General features: G+C 37.9%; 2 protein-coding genes across 13 annotated transcripts in view, besides 2 other annotated features; one reads left to right on the forward strand and one right to left on the reverse strand.

Annotated features, from left to right (window-relative positions):
* Positions 1-696: 696 nt before the first annotated feature.
* Positions 697-17259, reverse strand: MBLAC2 (metallo-beta-lactamase domain containing 2). The gene is made up of 2 exons (NM_203406.2): positions 16327-17259; positions 697-4040 (listed from the first exon to the last, which is right to left on the reverse strand). Exons 1-2 carry the CDS (start codon positions 16778-16780, stop codon positions 3655-3657), a joined length of 840 nt encoding a protein of 279 aa, NP_981951.2. The 5' UTR covers positions 16781-17259; the 3' UTR covers positions 697-3654.
* Positions 16417-20187, forward strand: part of POLR3G (RNA polymerase III subunit G) — a 40629-nt gene continuing 36858 nt past the window's right edge. For 8 of the 12 annotated variants that reach the window (XM_017008957.3, XM_047416633.1, NM_006467.3 and 5 more), the window contains exon 1: positions 17352-17508. The gene's annotated coding sequence lies outside the window, so the exon portion shown is untranslated. Of the gene's footprint in view, positions 16807-17351; positions 17509-20187 lie in introns of those variants that run through there. The other 4 variants (NM_001370354.1, XM_047416634.1, XM_011543101.4 and 1 more) reach the window with 1 other exon arrangement.
* Positions 16962-17141: an enhancer, noted in NCBI's record as "active region_22778". NCBI's record gives its function as "activates an Ori minimal core promoter by ATAC-STARR-seq in GM12878 lymphoblastoid cells {active_cell/tissue: GM12878}" and the evidence as "EXISTENCE:reporter gene assay evidence [ECO:0000049][PMID:35858748]".
* Positions 18863-19002: an enhancer, noted in NCBI's record as "active region_22779". NCBI's record gives its function as "activates an Ori minimal core promoter by ATAC-STARR-seq in GM12878 lymphoblastoid cells {active_cell/tissue: GM12878}" and the evidence as "EXISTENCE:reporter gene assay evidence [ECO:0000049][PMID:35858748]".

Genomic DNA, 20187 nt, shown 5'->3' on the forward strand with positions numbered 1-20187 from the left:
TATCTTCTTCTATGGGTCTTCATGAAGGCCTGTGTGTATACATAAAAATATTAACATTAAATAAAATTTGTATGCATATGCTTTTCTCCTGTTAATCTGTCTTTTGTCAGTTTAATTCACAGCCCCAACTATAGAACTTAAGAGGGTAGAAGAAACGTCTTTCATCCCTTACAGTAGTTATCTTTTTCTTACTGATTTGTAGGCATTCTTTATATTTGCTAAATTGTTTTATGTTATACAAATTGTGATTTTTTAACTTTATTTCATCTAAATTCTAAGACATTTAAAATTTTGATGTAATTTTGCTTTTTGTGTCTATATAAGGCAGATCTTCCCCATTCCAAGGTGTTAAATATGATTTCTTTTAATACATGTGTGGTTCTGATTTTCACATTTAGGTCTTTAACCCATTTGGAATTTACTTTTATAATGGCAGGGGCCATTTTTCCCACATCAACAATTGTAACATTTATTGAATAGTCTATCTTTTACCCATTGATCTGAATTGTCATACTTCTTAATTACAAAAGGCTTATATGAGTATTTTTCTGTTTCTGGGTTCTCTATTCTTTCTCACAAATTTAGTATCTTATTGACCATGAGCTTCTCAAAACTGCACTTTATACAGGAAATATCCTTGCAAGAAATTAAATAGAAACTTGCTAATGTTATAAAAATATCAATTATAGATTGAAATAAAATGACTAATATTTATTACACAAGTGCTTAGTTACACTTATCTGAAAATTATAATAGGACAATTGGTGCATGTCACATTCATATTACTATCCATATAAGAACAAATACATTTAGTCAACTATATCAGGATAACACACAAGGTTTTTGTTTGTTTTAGGCTTCTCAGTTGAAAGAAAACATCGAGTAAGGAAAATGAATTTCCAGTGATTAAGTATTAACAATATAAATAATAAAAATTACTTCTAAATGTCTTACATTTTGACAACTTTGAATTATACTTACATACTAATATTTCCAAAAATCATTTAAGTTACAAGGGTCACTGTCAGGGTGAAAATATATTTTGAAAAGCTTTTTAAAGATATGTTATTATTATGCTTTAACATCATTTCATTTATTCTTGGCACACACGGCATCTTGGAAAGTAAAAATACATCTTGCCAATTTTCTGCTATTGTGCAGTTACAAGAGAAAGAGAAGTGTGGGGCAGACAGACCTGTGTTCAGTTACTAGCTTTGTCCAAAATTGTGTTGAGGCTGGTCAATTACCTTTTGGTGCTGGGAGTAAGATTAAATTAAATAATGCATATTTTAAATGTACAGCATGGGCACTCAATAAATGATATACTTTACCTTATTTATTCACATTGAAGTAATAGCAAAATATCACAGTTCTATGTTGTGGTACAATTTGAAAAACTGAAAAAATTGGGAAATTAAAAAATAATAATGTGTTTTGAAAAATTGCACTTTTTATAAATAAATCCTTCAGCAGGTTTAAATATTTCCTAATAAAACTTAGTGCCTACTATACCCTGATTTTTTAAAAAAAGGCCTAAAATATGATAAAAATGGTCAGTGGTTAAGGACTTTTGGTTTTCCTTTGTGCTATTGATATAAAAATAATGGCTTTATTTAAGGCTTAGTAAGTGATTATTTGTAGTTGCCCTGAACCAAATCATTATTCTCAATGTTGCACTCAGTTGAAAGAGACCTACTACCTTGAATGACCATCATAGAGAAATGCCCATGATATTCTGTTAATATAATTGAACCAATCATACCCTCCTTTTTGATTGAAGTAAAGGTTCATTTGGTGGCATGTGGCAGTTCAGCTTGTCTCCCATTAACAATGACTCATATACACAATCACAAATCAATTTTTCTCATGCTAAATATGTGATGTTTGGAATATACTGGATTCCTGAAAATTAAATTTATATTTTCACAAGGAATAGACTATTCTAGACTAGCAATGCTTATATCCCTATTCTTGGATTGTTTTGTTTCCAACTCTGACTATCTAACAAGTTCATCCTTCCAAATTTGACTCAAAAACCCCTCCTCCAGTAAACTTTGCCTAACCAAAGTTCACACCCCTCCATTTATGTCCCTTACACGCATGTATAATGTACATTAACTTGCATACACTATTATTTATATTTTGTGTGCTTTCGACTTTTAGTTATAATGTTGTCTTTGACTTTTTTTAGCCTCCACAGTGTTTAGCGCTGTGCTACACATGTATATATGTGGCTGTGTGTGTTTGCATGTGGGATTGTGTTTGTGTATGTATATGTTTATGTGTGTGTGAGTTGAATGAATAAAAAACTAAAGAACCTGGGCATCTGTAGGGTAGAAAAGTTTTGTAATTTTTCAGAAACCAAAATTGCTGGATCTTCCTAACATTAAAAAATCTGATTTCCAAAGCGATTTCAGTTTGGTTTTAGATATGTCAATAATAAAAAGGCAGTGGGAAAAAACTGTTTAAAACCCTTTATGAAATATTCTAAAAGGCCTTTTAGCAAATTATTATTAACAGCACCAAACTAAAACTTTTTACTAAATAGTGGTATAACCTTTTATATGACTTTACGAACATAGACTTCTCTATTCAAGACAAAGAATACTGAACAGGAATAGGTGTTGTGAATCAGGATACAAAAGGCAATTCACTCTAAGTCAATAGCTAATGCACATTTTGCAATTAATTTAAAAATCCCTCTGTAGTACATATGCATGTTAAGTAAAAGAATAGCTGCAGATCTTCATAGTTGTTTTAACGCTGTAAAACATAACACAATACTGAAGTCGCTATTTAACAGGAAAAATTTTGTTCATAATAGCTGTTAATATTAAAATAGGATATAATAATAAAAAATTATTCTCAATGTGTATATTTTCAAATTTGCCTGACAGTGTCCTTTTAAGAAATCTGACAATTTGTAGTTAGATAACAGACATTTGCATTTCACTTTCATAATTGAAAATATTACCTACACAATAACAAACAACAATATATAGTAGCTTTTTACTGAAGCACTCTGAAATTTATATTTAAAGCTTTGCAATAAAGCAAAATTCACTGTACTTTTCATAAGTTATATTACATAACATGTATGCTATAATTATACAAAGAATAAATACATGAAATGAAGCATAAAAAATTCAGGACCATAACAATGGAATGTTTTAGTTGTCATTCTCAATGTTACTTTATATGTCTGCATTAAGTTCTAATGTATTTTAAACCCAAGAACCTTTATCTTTAAATAATACACTAAAAATATCAAGTTTAAAGTATAAACATAATACTCTACATGCCTTTTTTTCCCTAGGTCATCAAGGGAATAAAACAAGAAAAACAGAGGCAAGGGCAGTTCTCTTGCCACAAAATCTCTCTTTGCTTCCCCATAAACCTTTATGTCATTTCTAGAGCATATATTACAAGATGACAGCTTTGGCAAAGTATAAGCTTATTTAAGTGGCTTCTTTCTTGGAAGAAAGAAAACAATTTAAACTAACAATTTTCTTTTTGGCTTATTCATTCTCAATCTTTCTCTGATATATAATAGTGGTATAAAAGCACTTCATGAAATGCTCACTATTAATCAGTTAAATAGCACAGAATGAATTAATGTATATAATTAATCAAAATATATTATCAGTATAGATACTAGGGCGAGGTCCTAGAATTTGTTACACGTAGAGCTAAACTTGCAAGAGATCGCATGGCAAAAGTAGAAACTTTGTGACATATCCCAGCTTTTGAAATATAGTTAGAAGCCAATCGAAAAAGCCTTTCAGCACCAAAGGTATTGAAGTGCCCAGGAAGCACCTTCTCTACCAGACCTCTGTCCACTAATTCTATTAGACGTTCACAAGTTCCAACATAGTCACTTATCCTGCTGTATGGGAGCCAGTCAATCAGTGATCCATCATACACGACGTCTCCACTGAAGAGAATCTTTCGGTCTTTGTCATGTAAGCAAATACTGCCCCTGGAGTGACCTGGCATGTGCATAACAGTGAGCTGTCTGTCACCAAGGTTGATCACATCCCCTACAAATGGAAACAGAGTTTACAGATAAACATGTTGTATACTTGACTTAGCATGTAAAGCATACTAGAGCATTATATGCTTCCAAAGAAATTGGGAAGGATGACACTTTATTTCATAAATACTGTATTTCTTAATGATGATTTAAAAATAAGCTGCCTATAGTTCATTCCTATTGTTTGCTAGACCAGTGTTTGCCAAAGCAAGTAATGTGGAACACTACTTCTACAGGCTATCATGATACATAAATGAAAAGGAGGTAGTTCTGTGGTCAAATAATTTGAGGAACTCTCACTTTAAAGAAAATTAAGCAGCTTTCTTTTCAGAAAGACTTCTTTGAGCTTTTATTATATGAATGTATACTGTGGATATATACAAAGTAGATATAGTTGTACAATTTCTCAAACTTATTTGATCATGAAACTTTTACTTTTCAGCACATCTATGGTACCAGTATCCTGTTGACACAATTAATGAATGTTGCTCTAGGGAATTTTATTGTATTTTGCCTCTTGTATCACCCTGTCAGAATTAGGGCTTGAGGAATTGATATAAATCATGATGCTCTAATATGTGAGTAATAATCTCCTTAATCTCTGACCCAGGAACCTCAAGTCTTCTGTCAGAATACATTAAACTCTGGCAGGCTAACTTGCAAATAGGGTAAAATCTCAGACTTCAGTTACCGACAGCAGAGAGGAAATGGAGCAACATGGGTGGAAAATTGCTCTGTTTCACTGGAATTAAATTAGTATGAACTTGAAGTAAATCATGGTAAATTAAAAGATTCATAATGTAATCTCTAGTGCAAGCACATACACAGGAAAAAATTTAAAAATATATAGCTAAAAAATAATAAAGGAATCAAAATGGTGTAATAATCAGGATTTGGTAAACATAAAAAGGCAGAGATTGTCAGACTGGATTAAAAATCAAGATATATGCAGCCTACAAGAAAGAAACTATAAGACCAAAGACACAAATAGGTTGAAAAGCTTAACCATATTAAATATTACTGTTAAGAGAACTAGGGCAGCTAATATTAATATAAGACAAAATTGATTTTTACATGAAGAATATTACTAAAAAGAAGTAATTTTATGAGAATGTACATTAAATCAATACATTGATAAATAACAATTATAAATGTACATGCACATAAAACATCACCAAAAATACATGAAGCAAAAACAAACAAACAATAAACAATTCAACAATGATACTTGGAGAGTTCAATATTCTTCTCTGTGTAATTCATAAAATAAGTAAATAGAAAATCAATAAGGATATGGAAGACCTGAACAACTCTTATCAACCAACTTGACCTGACAAAAATAAAACACTTTACTCCAAAACAGCAAAGTACACATTCTTTTCAACTGTAGTTGAAATATTCAACAGGCTATAAAGCTAGGCCATAAAGCAAGAATCAATAAATGTAAAAGGAATAAAATCATACAAAGTATGTTCTCTGCCTACAACATAATTAAATTAGAAATAACAAAATGAACAGAAAATTGATAACATGTAGTCTTTTTGTTTGTTTTTTCTGAGACAGAGTTTTGCTCTCTCGCCCCGGCTGGAGTGCAGTGGCGCAATCTTGGCTCACTGCAACCTCTGCCTTCCAGGTTCAAACAATTCTTGTGCCTCAGCCAGCTGAGTAGCTGGAATTACAGGCGTGTGCCATCACGCCTGGCTAATTTTTATATTTTTAGTAGAGACAGGGTTTCGCCATGTTGGCCAGGCTGGTTGCCATGTTGCCAAGGCTGGCCTCAAGCGATCCTCCCTCCCTGGCCTCCCAAAGTGCTGGGATTGCAGGCATGAGCTACTGCGCCCAACCTTATTATGTGTTTTTAATAGACAAAAAATAACAAATTAGGAAGAACAAAAATAAATATGGGCAATATTCAAATATATGTAAAGCAAACAGCAAACTTCTACATTGTTTATGGATCAAAGAAGAAATCAAAGGGAAATATAAAAATATTTTGAATGAATGAAAACAAAATCAAAACATATCAAAATGTATAGAATACAGCTGAAGCAGTACTTAGAAGAAAACGTATTGCTTTAAATGCTTATTTTATAAAGGATTAAATGTTTAAAATCAACAATCAAATTACTATCCTAAGAAGTTAGGAAAAGAAGAACAAATCAAACACAAAGTAAGTGTTAATAGAAATAATAAAGGGCAGAGCAAAAATAAATGAATACAAATACCAACAGAAAAAAACAGATGAAACCAACAGTTGTTTATTTGAAAACTACAACAAAATTGATACACCTTTAGCTAGACAAATCAAGAAAAAATTAGAGAAGATACAACTTGCTAAAATAGGAATTAAAGAAGGAACATCACTACAGACCCTGAAGAAATTAAAAGGAGAATAAGGGAATATTATGAACAATTTTAAGCCAACAAATTTGACAACTTATTTGAAATGAACATATTCTTAAAAAGAGACAAATTATCAAAAGTGATCCAAGAAGAAATGAAGTCTAAATAAATGTATATCAAGCAAATAAATTGATTAACAATTTAAAGTCTCCCCACAAAGAAAAGTCTGGGCTCAAAGGCTTCATTGATCAATTCTGTCAATCATTTTATAACGGGACAATTTCAACCCTATAATAATTTCAACCCATATAAAGACTTTCAGAATACAGATGAGAAATCTAACTCAGTTATTACCCTCATAAAAGCCAGACAAAGACAATATATTAAAATAACAACAACATCAGGCCTGGTGCGGTAGCTCACTCCTGTAATCCCAGCACTTTGGCAACATGTGGGAGGACTGCTTGAGGCCAGGAGTTTGAGACCAGCCTCGGCAAAATAGTGAGACCTCCATTTCTATAAAAATTAAAAATAAATAATAATTTAAAAAGCCAAGTAGGGTGTTTTGTGCCTGTAGTCCCAGTTACTCAGGAAGCTGAGGTAGAAGGATTGCTTGAGCCCAGAAATTTGAGGCTGCAGAGATCTATGATGGCGCCATTGCACTCCGGCCTGAACAACAAAGGGAGACTCTTTCAAACAAAACAAAAAAAAGCCTATACACAAATATACCTAATGAATGCAATCTTAAAATTATTGACAAAATATTGGCAAATCAAATCCAGCAACTTATAAATAGGAAAATGACCAAGTGAAGTTTATTCCAGAAATATTAAGTTTGGTTTAACTAGTGAAAATAAATTAATGTAATATACTGTATTAATAAAGGAGAAAGCCATATGATTATCTCAATAGATACATAAAAAGCATATGACAAAATCCAATTCTCATTCATGATAAAAACTTCCAGCAAACTAGGAATAGTTGGGGAAGGTCCTGAACTTGATAAAAGTCACTTATGAACATCTATAGGTAATACCTCTTTGAATAGAAAGTCTCCTAAGATAACAAGGCAAGGATGTCTGCTCTTACCATTTCTATTCAACATTATACTGAAGATCCTAGACAGTGTAATAAGCCAAGAAAAAGAGAGTAAGGTCTCACAGATTAGAAAAGAAAATCTGTCTTTATTTAGACATAATCTTACATACAGAAAATCCTAAGTAGGAAAAAGCTAGAGAACTAAAAAGTTTACCAATGTTACAGGATACCAGATCAACATACAAAGATAAACTATATTTCTATATGCTTCAAGTAACTATCAAAAATGAATTTTAAGACATTTGACTCAAAATAGCATCAAAAAGAATAAAATACTTGGGAAAAAATTTGACAAAAGATGTTTTGTAATATATGAACACTGTATAATGAAAACTACAAAAACACTGTCAAGAGAAATTAAAGAAGACCTCAATAAAAGGAGAGATAGGCTATGCTTACTGACTGTCTCAATATCACTAAGGCTCAATATTGCTATGATGGTAATGTAACCCAATTTTTCCAATAGCTACACTGCCTAATAAAACTTTCTGCAATGATTGAAATGTTGGTTCTCAATACTGTTCAATATGGTGTGGCTAATGGTGCTTGAAATAAAGCTAGTACAATTAAGGAATTAAAATTTTAATTCTAACCAATCTTAATTATTTTTTTAAAGAGATGGAATCTCTGTCACTCAGGCTAAAGTGCAGTGGCCCGCTTATAGCTCACTGTAACCCCTGAACTCCTGGGCTCAAGGGATCCTTCCAAGTAGCTGGGACTACAGGTATATGACACCAGCCCAGCTAACTTAAAAACTTTTTCTAGAGACAGGATCTCGCTTTGTTGCCTAGGCTAGTCTTATACTCCTGGCCTTAAATGATCCTCCAGCCTCAGCCTCCTAAGTAGCTGGGATTACAGGTGAGTCACCATATCCGGTAATCTTAATTTAAATTTGATAGCCATACATGGCTAGTGGCTACTGTAATGGCCAGTAAAAATTCAACATAATCTCAATCAAAATCTTGATCTTTTTTCGAAGAAACTGAAAATCTGACTCTAAATTTCACGTGGAAATGCAAATGACCTAGAATAGCCAATACAATTATGAAAAAGAGGAACACAGTAAGAAGACGTATACTAATTTCAAGAGTTACAATAAAACATCACTTCTCAGTCTTTTGGCTAAGATCAAGTGTACAATAAAGCTACAGTAATCAAAATATTGTGTTACTGACTAAATAGACATAATCGATATAACAGAGAGTCTGAAAGTAGACACAATATTGTCAATAGATATTTGACAAAAGTCAAACAAGATAATTCAACGGATAAAATGACAGTCTTTTTGACAGACTGGACTGGGATACTTTGTATATCCATTTGCAGACAAACAAATAAGAATCGAGAACCTCTCAACCCTTACTTCACAAATATTCACAGAAATTAACTGAAAATAAGTCATAAACCTAAATATGGGAGCTTCTAGAGAAAAATTAGGGGAACATTTTTGTGACCTTGGGCTAGACATAGAGCTCTTAAATATGACACAACAATCATAAAACACGAGACAAAAATTGCTAACTGGACTTCAAGTTATAAACTTTCTTGCTTAAAAAGACACCATTAAGAATGAAAAGGCAGGGCACACATTGGGAGAAGGTATTTGCAAAATGTACATCTGATAAAATCTTGTATTCAGAATATATAGAGCTTGCATAACTCAATAATAAAAAAGCTGAATTTTTAAAAAAGATTTTAATATACCATTTAATAAAGTGGATATCTGATTAGCAAATAAGTACCAAAAAGATGCTCAACATCATTAGTTTTTAGTGAATGCAAATTAAATCACAATCAAGTACCACTACACACTCACTAGAATGGCTAAATTGAAAAGGATTGACAAAACCAAGTGTTGAAAAAGATGTGAGCTGGGCGCACTGGCTCATGCCTGTAATACCAGCAATTTGGAAGGCTGAAGCTGGTGGATCACTTGAGGTCAGGAGTTCGAGATCACCCTGGCCAACATGGTGAGACCCCATCTCTACCAAAAACACAAAATTCACCAGAGGTGGTGGTGCATGCCTGTAATTCCAGCTACTCAGGAGGCTGAGGCAGGAGAATCGCTTGAACTTGGGAGGCAGAGGCTGCAGTGAGATTGCACCATTGCACTTCAGCCTGGGCAAGAGAGAGACTCCATCTCAAAAAAGTAAAAAATAAAAAAATGTAGTTGTTGGGTAGAATGTTCTGTAAATATCTATTAAGTCCATTTGTTCTAGGGTATAGTTTAAGTCCATTGTTTCTTTGTTGACTTTCCATCTTGATGACCTGTCTAGTACTGTCGACAAGTGGAGTATTAAAGTCCCCCAGTATTATTGTGTTACCATCTATCTCATTTCTTATGTCTAGTAGAAATTGTTTTATACATTTGGGAGCTCCAGTGTTAGGTGCATATATATTTAGAATTGTGATATTTTCCTGTTGGACTAGTCCTTTTATCACTATATGTTCCTCTTTTTGTCTTCTTTAACTGCTGTTGCTTTACATTTTGTTTTGTGTGATATAAGCCTGCTTACCTTTGGTGTCCATATGCATGGAAAATCTTTCTCTACCCTTTTACCTTAAGTTCATGTGAGTCTTTATGTGTTAGGTGAGTTTCCTGAAGACAGCAGAAACTTGGTTGGTGAATTCTTATCCATTCTGTCATTCTATATCTTTTAAGTGGAGCATTTAGGCCATTTACATTCAATGTTAGTATTGAGATGCGACATACTATTCTATTCATCACGCTATTTGTTGCCTGAATACCTTCTTTTTTTGGGGGGGGCGGTTTGTTTGTTTTTTACATTGTTATTGTTAGATGTTATATAGGTACTGTGAGGTTTATGCTTTAAGGAAGATTCTATTTTGTTGTATTTCAAAGTTTTCTTTCATGATTTAGAGCTCCTTTTATCAGTTCTTGTAGTGATGGCTTGGTAGCAGTGAATTCCCTCAGCATTTGTTTGTCTAGAAAAGACTGTATCTTTCTTTCATTTATGAAGTGTAGTTTCACTGGATACAAAATTATTGGCTGATAATTGTTTTGTTTAAGAAGGCTAAAAATAGGACCCCAATCCCTTCTAGCTTGTAGAGTTTCTGCTGTTAGATAGGTTTTCCTTTACAGGTTACATGATGCTTTTTTCTCACAGCTCTTAAGATTCTTTCCTTTCATCTTGACTTTAGATAACATAATGACTATGTGCCTAGGTGATGATCTTTTTGTGACTAATTTCTCAGGTGTTCTTTGAGCTTCTTGTATTTGGATGTCTAGATCTCTAGCAAGGCTGGGTAAGTTTTCCTCGATTATTCCTTCAAATAAGTTTTCCAAACTTTTAGATTTATCTTCTTCCTTGGGAACACCAATTGTTCTTAGACTTGGACATTTAACGTAGCCCCGGACTTCTTGGAGGCCTTGTTCATTTTTTTTTAATTCCTTTTTCTTCGTCTTTGACGGATTGGGTTAATTCAAAAGCCATGTCTTTGAGCTCTGAGGTTCTTTCTTCTGCTTGTTTGATTCTATTGCTGAGACTTTCCAGTGCATTTTGAATTTCTCTAAATATGTCCTTGATTTCCAGATGTTGTAACTGTTTTTTATTTATGCTATCTATTTCACTGAAGAATTTACCTTTCATATCTTGTATCATGTTTTTGATTTCTTACATTCTATTCATCAGCACATGGAACATTCTCCAAGATAGACCATATGATAGGCCACAAAACAAGACTCAGTAAATTTAAGAAAATTGAAATTGTATCAAGTGTTCTCTCAGACCACAGTGGAATAAAATTGGAAATCAACTCCAAAAGAAACCCTCAAAACCATGCAAATATATAGAAATTAAATAACCTGCTCTTGAATGATCATTGGGTCAACAATGAAATCAAAATGGAAATTTAAAAATTCTTTGAACTGAACACTAATAGTGACACACAACCTATCAAAACCTCTGGGATACGGCAAAAGCAGTGCTAAGAGGAAAGTTCATAGCATTAAATGCCTACATCAAAAAGTCTGAAAGAGCATAAATAGGCAATCTAAGGTCACACCTCATGGAACTAGAAAATATAAGAACAATCCAAACCCAAACCCAGGAGAAAAAAAGAAATAACCAAGATCAGCCTCCCGAGTAGCTGGGATTACAGGCATGCAACACCACACCCAGCTAATTTTTGTATTTTTAGTAGAGACGGGGTTTCACTATGTTGGCCAGGCTGGTCTTGAACTCTTGACCTCAGGTGATCCGCCCTCCTCGGCCTTTCAAATTATTGGGATTACAGACATGAGCCACTGTGCCCAGCCACCCTACTATTTCTTTTCTTTCACCTTCTCTGTCCTATCTCTGCATCCATTATTCTAAGGCTGGATTTTCCAAACTGGTCCTCCTACTTATTTTAGTCTTTTTCTCTCCTAGTTCCCATTTTCCTGTACTGATCTTTAGTAAGTTTTTCAACTTTATCTTCCAGACCTGCTGCTACATAATTTCTGATGTTTTAAATTCTAAGAGTTTTTTTTTTTTGGTGAATATTGTTCTATTTATTTTTAAAGCATCCTTACTGACTCTTGGATATCTTGAATGCAATAGCTTGTCTTATCCCCCTGATGATATTGATGATAGTTCCCCACTCTCAAATTGCTTTATGCTGTTTGTTTTAATAGCTGATCTCATGTTAGAGAATTTTCTGTTTTTTTATAATGCTTGGTTGCCTATTTAAGAGTTGGGGGGCATGAGTAAAAATGGCTATTGTCAAAAAGACAGAAAATAACAGATGCTGACAAGGATGTGGAGAAAGGGGAATGCTTGTACCCTGTTAGTGGGGATGTAAATTAGTACAGCAACTACGGAAAATGGTATGGAGGTTCCTCAACAAACTGAAAATAGAACTACCATACGACCTAGCAATCCCACTGCTGGGTATGTACATCCAAAAGAAAGGAAATCAGAATACTAAAGAGATAACTGCATTCCCATGTTTATTGCAGCAATATTCACAATAGCCAAGATGTGGAATTAACCTAAGTGTCCATCAACAGATGAATGGATAAAGACAATGTGGGAAAATATACACAGTGGAATTATTCACTCATAAAAAATAATGAAATCCTGTCATTTGCAGCAACATGGATGGAACTGGAGGGCATTATGTTAAGTGAAATAAGCCAGGCACAAAATGACAAATATCCCACGTTTATACTCATATGTGGGAGGTAGTGCTAGTATGGTGGTTACCAGAGGCTGGAAAGGGTAGGGGGGAAGGGAATGAAGAGATTGGTTAATAGGTACAAAAATACAGTTAGATAAAAGAAGTAAGTTCCAGTGTTTGATAGACTAGAGTTAACAAGGATTTATTGCATGTTTCAAAATAGCTAGAAGATTTGGAATGTTTCTGACACAAAGAAATGATAAATGTTTGAGGTGATGGATATTCTAAATAACCTGATCTGATCATTACATTGTATGCGTTTATCAAAATATCACACGTACCCCATAAGTAATTACAACTATTAGGTATCAATTAAAAAAAAGAAGGGGGGACAAGAAGGCTGCTTGCAGCACATGCATGGGGCCTGGTGACCAAGGCTTCACAGTAGAGAAAGAGGCCAGGATTTCTTAGGTATTCCTCTACATTGGTATCTTAGTCTTTCTTCTAGGAGGCAGATTCCCTAGATAACATTTTTCTAATTTCCTACCTGGGTGGGGAAAGGCCTGGCTCTCATCCTTCTAGGAAACTAGTAGAACACACACACACTCTTTCTCCTGTCTCTCATCCTTCTAGAAAACTAGCGCGCGCGCACACACACACACACACACACACACACACGCTTTCTTTCTCCTGTTTTCCATACTGAGCCCTTAAGCTCAACAGTAATTTGGCATCCTTCAATCAAGAAACTCCTTTGTTTTACTATCCCCAGAGAATAAACTAATTGGATGGGAGAGGGAGGGGCATTCACTAGAGTTTTAAGAGCTTCTTAAAAGGTTTTCAAGAAATTCTGCTTACTCTTCCCTTTGCCGCCACTGAGGTACTACTGCCTATTGCAAATTCCTGAGTTTTTTAAGGCTTCAGCGGTGCAAACTGAATTGGCTCTTAATTTCCCTTTGCTGGCATAGTATAAAACTGTTAACTTAGTCACCACATCTACTTTCTAGCATCCAAAACAGTTCCCCCCGCCAATGGGGATTTAAATTGAAATCACGATTTTTTCACAGTTCAACAGTGCTTCGGAAGAGAGCCAAATTAGATGTGTCTGTTCAATCCACCACCTTCCTACAACCTGTTTTAGCCTCTGCAAATGACTTAAGTCCACCTGAAACCACTCCTCTGAGATAATATCTTGGTGACACTGGGCATATGGTTTAAACATGTATGTAATAGGGATCACAATGCCAGAACTTTGTATCACTTGACTATAGTGAAAAATGGGCAAAATGATGTATGCCCACTCGAGAGGTATGTACTATGTCAATTTAAGGTCTGCTGCTATCTTAGAGGAAGATAACCATTTCACTATTAGTAGGGCGAGTTGCTTTTTTATCCAGAATAATGCACTGGAAGATATGGCTATTCTCTCCTTGTCCCTCATTTACAAGTCGGCTTTTGGGTTAGAGATACAGTGCACAGATTTATGCTTCTCCATGACAAGTGATCATCAATTCATTAAAGGAAATGTAATAAATGATTTCAGCTCCTTGCATTCTACCAAAGCAATGAAGACTTTATGCTGTTCATGTGTGTAACTGTATACAAATTTTTAATACAAATATTTTATGTATCCTCCCAGGCACCTGGATTATGTTAACAGCAAGTTAGCAGGCCACATCATTCAGAAGATACGGGAAATTAATATTCTTGAGAAGAGAGGAAATTAGACACTACCTGAGAGGGTGGGGCATCCAGCTCCTAATGAAAAACAACTTTTGATAACACGGATAACACAGTACTATCACCTTCAAAGTGTTTGGTAAACATTAAGCTTTCTTTTCACCCTTTTAAAGGCTTAAAGCACCACACAAGTAGTTTGCAGGCCCCTTTCAGCTCCAAAAATGTTGGGATTCTACCATCAACTGGAAACCTGGGTTCTAGTCCCAGCTCTTTCCGAGATGGGGTATGTGACCTCACACATGATACTCAGCCCTGCATGGGTTCTTTCTTCATCTATAAAAAACCCCTATCATTCTCTCACCTTTGATTTCCCATTGCTGACACAGAATCAAAAGTAAATTTCAAAAGTAATTTATTCTTTTCAACAATTTAAGTATATTTTAATACCAATGTAAACATTTTTGATCCGGGTGTCAGAATTTAGTCTGAATACCTATCAACTGCATGGAAATGTTACCTCTAAAAGTACCCATTTTTATCAAGAAATACAGTAATTAGGTGTGACTTTAATGTGAATTAAAATTTAATGTACATGTACTTTCATCTCATATTGTCAGATAATGTAAGACTCTTATCTAAATCAGTTTTTTTTTTTAAATTTAGATTTAAAACTTTAATGAAGACTTGTTCGGTGGGTGTGAGGTACAGAATCTTGCAATTTTTTTTTTAGCACCGATAAGCAGTACAATATTGCAATTTTTAAAATATCTCAAATGAAGATGTCATCTGTGAGATAAACTGATTTTTGTAAAATATTTCATTATTTGCCATATTGTTTGGTCATAAAGTGAGCTTCATTATACTGCAGCAACTGAATTTTTCTACCATATAGAGGCACGTTTTAATATACCACATTGGTAATTAAAATGATCTCACGCTAAAGGAAAGAAGGGGCCTTTCACATTCTACTCAAAATCATCATATATTTATGAGGCAGGATTTATGTATGTTCTGCATGCCTTGATCTATTGTGCCTAGATTCATATCCTAGCTTTTATCATGATCTGGCTCAGGCAAGCCATTTAACTGGGGGGTCAGTGGCCTCACTTTAAATGTGTTGTGAAGATAAAATGAAATCAAAAGTATTTTAAAAAGAAAATAGAAAACTAATATACCAAATATTGCTGATGTGGCGAATTAGCTCAATTATTTAAGTCCCTACGTAGGGAGAATGGGCTGAGGCCCTATTTATTTTCATTCCATGAATTTCTCTCTGAATTCCATACTTGTCTTTCACAGAGCCAAAGAGGACCATGGCTACCTATGCATTAGTCCACATAATTTACCTCTACCGAAAATTACTTCCTTATTGATCTTTCTCAGGCTTTGCTTTCAACCGGACCAAATATCTGTCATAAAGTAAGACTCAGACATATTCTACGTTTATGATTACTATTAAGCTTTTGCAATCGTGAGGCAACATCAAGAACAGAAACCTATCTGAAAGGTTTCCAATCGCATTAGCGGATTGGAATCACTGGTCTGATGACTCTCTAAGGCTACAGGTGGGAACTGCCCATACCCGGTGGGGACCAAGCTGATGAAGTCTGCAATTCTCAAAAGCACAGATCATGACATGCACTCTCCGTGAGGGGTCATTCCTTAAAAGTCTGCTCACTACGAAAGCTCCTGGAAATGTCGGGCAGGTGCTTAGGGAAAGAATGAGAAATCCCTAGTCAGTCACAAGTCTTTGTAGTGTTACTGCTACAGCCGATGCAGGAAAGTGGCTAGGGAGGGGGTGGTGCCGGCTTTCAAAGGAGTACTCAGAATCTCTACACGATGCCAGAGCTGGTCTCTGGCAGGGAAGGCTGTGATGGCCTTGACTCTGGTCAAGTGGGTTTTTACTCAGGGAAGGGTGAAACAGAAGTGGCTCTGCGAGGTGCCAAAATAATCCCCTTTATGGCCACGCAAGTCTGCAACATGCGGCACTCGGACAGTCTCTTCCCAATACCCTCCCTTAACGAGAGCGCGCGCCCGCGGGGGCCCATTACCATCCTGCAGGATGAGGGTGGGCTGCACCGCCTGTACCCGGAACTGTCTGGCCCTCCAGCCGGGGCTGGGCGTCCGCACCACCTCGCTATCGGAAAGCCAGGTCACGGTCTCAAAGTTGTCCCCGCGAGCCAGCGCCTCGGCCTCGGCGTGGTGCACTGCCACGCGGTCGAACTGGTAGAGGCCGCCGGAGTGGTCGAAGTGCACGTGGGTGGCCACGGCAAGCAGTGGCCGGCGCGCCGCGTCCTCTTTGGCCTCTCGGTCCTGCAAGAGGCCGGAGGAGTACAGGTACTCCGGGAGGCTGCGCAGCCCCAGGCCTGTATCGATCACCACGTCCTGCTCGGAGCCGCGCACCAGCCAGATGTTGGCACGGTTGCCCGACTCGTAGAAACGTTCTTGAATCCAGAAGATACCATCGCCTAGAGACTTGTGGGCGTACCACTCGAGCGCCGACATGCTGGGCAGGGGTGCAGCCAGGCGGGGTGAGTGTGGGCGTGCGAGTCTCCCACAGGCTGTCCACACACAGGGCACTGCGGCTGTGTGAAGCGGTCTGCCTGCAGCCAGGGAGGAGGCGTAGAGCGAGGCGGGGGCGTGGGATGCGGGGGTCGGAATAGGAGGAGGAAGGACGCAGACCGACGCTGCCCGTAGCGTGCGCTCCCGCACCCTTCCGCCAGGTCGGCAGCAAGCAGAGGCTGCGCCACCAGCACGGGGGCGCAGGAGCTACCGCAGCCTCGGCAGCCGCACCACGAGAGAGCTTTAACGCAGGGGCCACTGCAGCAGAATGGAGACTCAGGTGGCGACCGTTTCGCCACCCCGGGCGTGTGACAGCAGAGGCCCGCAGTGAGGGTGGGAAGAGCTAGAACCGCCCACCCACTGGCTCTGCAGGGCGCGCACTCCCAGCTGGCGCAGAAAGTGTGGGGCCTCGCGGGTTGTACGGCGACTACGGCGCCTGCCAAGGGCAAAAAAACCTCTTTGCCGAGGGGGTGGGGCCTTCCTAGGGAGTGGGCGGGGCTAGTTGGTAGGGCTCACTCCGCGGTCCTGGTGCCGCGTGCAGGTCGGTGCGCGCTTCTCCCGAGGTGGAACGGGCGGCAGTCAAGCGCCGGCGTTCTCTGCCGTCACCCTTTCCTTGCCGGCCGGCACTTCGGCTGCAGAGTTTTGCCCACGCTTCGAGACTTAGGGAGCAGGTAACCGAGGAAGCAATCGAAGACTTGGGAGGGGTGGTGAGGGTAGAGGGGAATTAAAGGGGCACGTGGAAAAGGTGAGGGGAAGTCAGGGGTAGAGATTCATTAAAGCGCCTCTGGTTTGAGGGGCGTTTGGAGATAGCTTGGTACCTCCCCTCCTTGTCCTGCTCCCTTCAGAATTTTTTAAGTCCAATTTCCAGATCTTACCTAGTCTCTACTCCTAGGACTGTTTGCAGTGAGTTAGAAGGGTATTTATGCTCTTACTGATAGTAGGTTATTTTCAAAATCCATGGCTTTATGATTTTTTAGGCACTAGTCATTGCCGCAGATTGCAGCTGAGGACCGACTATTCAGTATCTGTTTTCGTAACTGTTGGCACTTTATATCGTAGGGAAGGGAGTTGTTAATATGGTTTGTCTTTTCTTATAAAAAATAAAATTCTATATCCACCCTTTTTTTAATTTTATTATTATTTATTTATTTATTTATTTATTTTGGTTTGTCTGCCCTTGGAAGAGAGTAAAGCGAGTTGGTAGAAAGGCTCAAATAAAGAAAAGGAGCACCTGGTGAGGACGGGAAAAGTGAATAATGACTGGGTGTGGCCCCGCCAGCCACATAAATCATCCGCTCTGTTAACATCAGGTCACTGTCTCCACTCCCCGCTTCCCAGCTATTGAAATATCTATTTAGGGTTTTTGTTTGTTTGTTTGTTTTTTGAGACAGAGTCTCTGTTGCCCAGTCTGGAGTGCGGTGGCGCGATCTCGTCTCACTGCATCCTCCGCCTCCTGGGTTCTAGCGATTCTCCTGCTTCAGCCTCCCGAGGAGCTGAGGTTACAGGCGCCTGCCACTGCACCCGGCTAATTTTGTATTTTTAATAGAAACGGGGTTTCACCATGTTGGCCAGGCTGGTCTTGAACTCCTGACCTCAAATGATCCGCCTGCCTCGGCCTCCCAAAGTGCTGGGATTACAGGCGTGAGCCACTACACCCGGCCAGAAGCATCTATTTAGGCTTCAGAAATTCCCTTGAGAACTTAACTAACCTCTTAAGTTAGTCAGGAAAAATGATAAAGAGACTCATGAGACAGCATTACAAAAGAATTATGATAACCTTTACTGTGACAACTACTAATAAGCCTTCATGGAAGGAGAGGTGTACGCTCCTTTCCTACCCTCCTAAAGTCTTTGGTGGGCATGCAGCTTTTCTAAATACTTTGCTAATCTTCACAGAGATTATTCGGTTACTCAGCTGGGGGCTTTCCTTATGCACAAGTCGCTGAGCTGGGTAATTCATGAACAGAGTTGTGTAAAAAGGTCATAATCTGGATTCTCAGGAGTTTGAGGGAAGATAATGTCTGTACACAATTACTTGCAAAATAAAGCATTACGGGGTATGTACCACAGAGGAAGTAAAAGCTAGATTCAGTAAGAATACAGGTGGAAGGGATTCGTGAGGAGTGGCTTTTGAGCTGGCCTTAAAAGACTACTTTTAGGGCATTCTCAGCAGAGTAATATAGGGCCCTCAGTAGTCTGGGTACTTTTTCTCTAGGCAGAAGCAAGCCACTAGTGGTGAAATGGAGTGATATCTCTACCAGGCCATGAGCTCAGCAATAATTTATCCAATAATCATTGGCCTTTTGCTAGGCTTTCGTTAGTAATGGGGACATAAAAAGGAGAATAAGTTTCCAAGGAGACCTTCACACTTCCAGGTCCCCCTGCCTGCATCCCACATCTCACTGGATATCCTTTTTTAATTCTCTACATGGCTCTTTGCCTTACTTTTGTCAGGCTTATGCTCAGGTATCACCAAGTAAGAGAGGACTTCTTCAGCCACCCTTTCCACAATAGCATCCATGTTTCCTGTCTTTATTTTTCTTATCATTTCCTGACATTTCCTATAAAATATATTTTGTCAGTTTCTTACCCTAGACTATGAGCTTCATGAGAGGAGAAATTTTGTTTTGTTCACTACTGTATTCCCAATTCATAGAAGACGGCCTGACGATGAGGGTGCTTAATAAATACTTGATTGGATTGAAGAGGCTCCCTGGGAGACAGATAAGAGCTGACAGTTACAACATGATTGTAAAAAGGGCTTAAAAGCAGAGTAGTACTTGGGAAACACAGAGAAGGGAGAGGCCTACCTCCATGTAGGGTGGAAGAAATTGTCATGGAGAAAGTGTCATTTGCATGGCATCTGAAAAGAACCTGGGGCTTAAGTGGATGTGGCAGGAAGGGCACTCCAGGCATGCAATGGTTGACTTGGCCACAGCGTGGGGTGCCTGTGGTGAGAGGCAGAAAGACTCCAAAGCTCTGTTAAGGAGAGTCACATGTCAAGATTTGTATTCCAGAAAGATACCCTAGACTGCAGAGTGGATTGAAAGGGAGAATCCGGCCACAGGAAGTTTATTTGTTCTGTTTTAGAGGTCCAGGTGAGAGATGAGAGGGTCTGAACTGAAGCAGAGGTGGAAGAAACAGAACATGGGAGAGAGAACAGAGCTGGTAAACCTCTACTATTAGATGAGGGGTTGGAAGTAGACAGGTCAGAATACCTATCCTGATTGTAGCAATTTAGGGGTCATTCATCAGGAATAATACCGTGACTTGACTTTCACTGCCTCCTCTAGCTTCTATGTCTGCTTCTATCTGTTTGTGCATTTATTCATGGAGCTGACGTTGTTACT

This window comes from Homo sapiens, chromosome 5 (assembly GCF_000001405.40).
Source record: "Homo sapiens chromosome 5, GRCh38.p14 Primary Assembly".
NCBI classification, from domain to species: domain Eukaryota; kingdom Metazoa; phylum Chordata; class Mammalia; order Primates; family Hominidae; genus Homo; species Homo sapiens.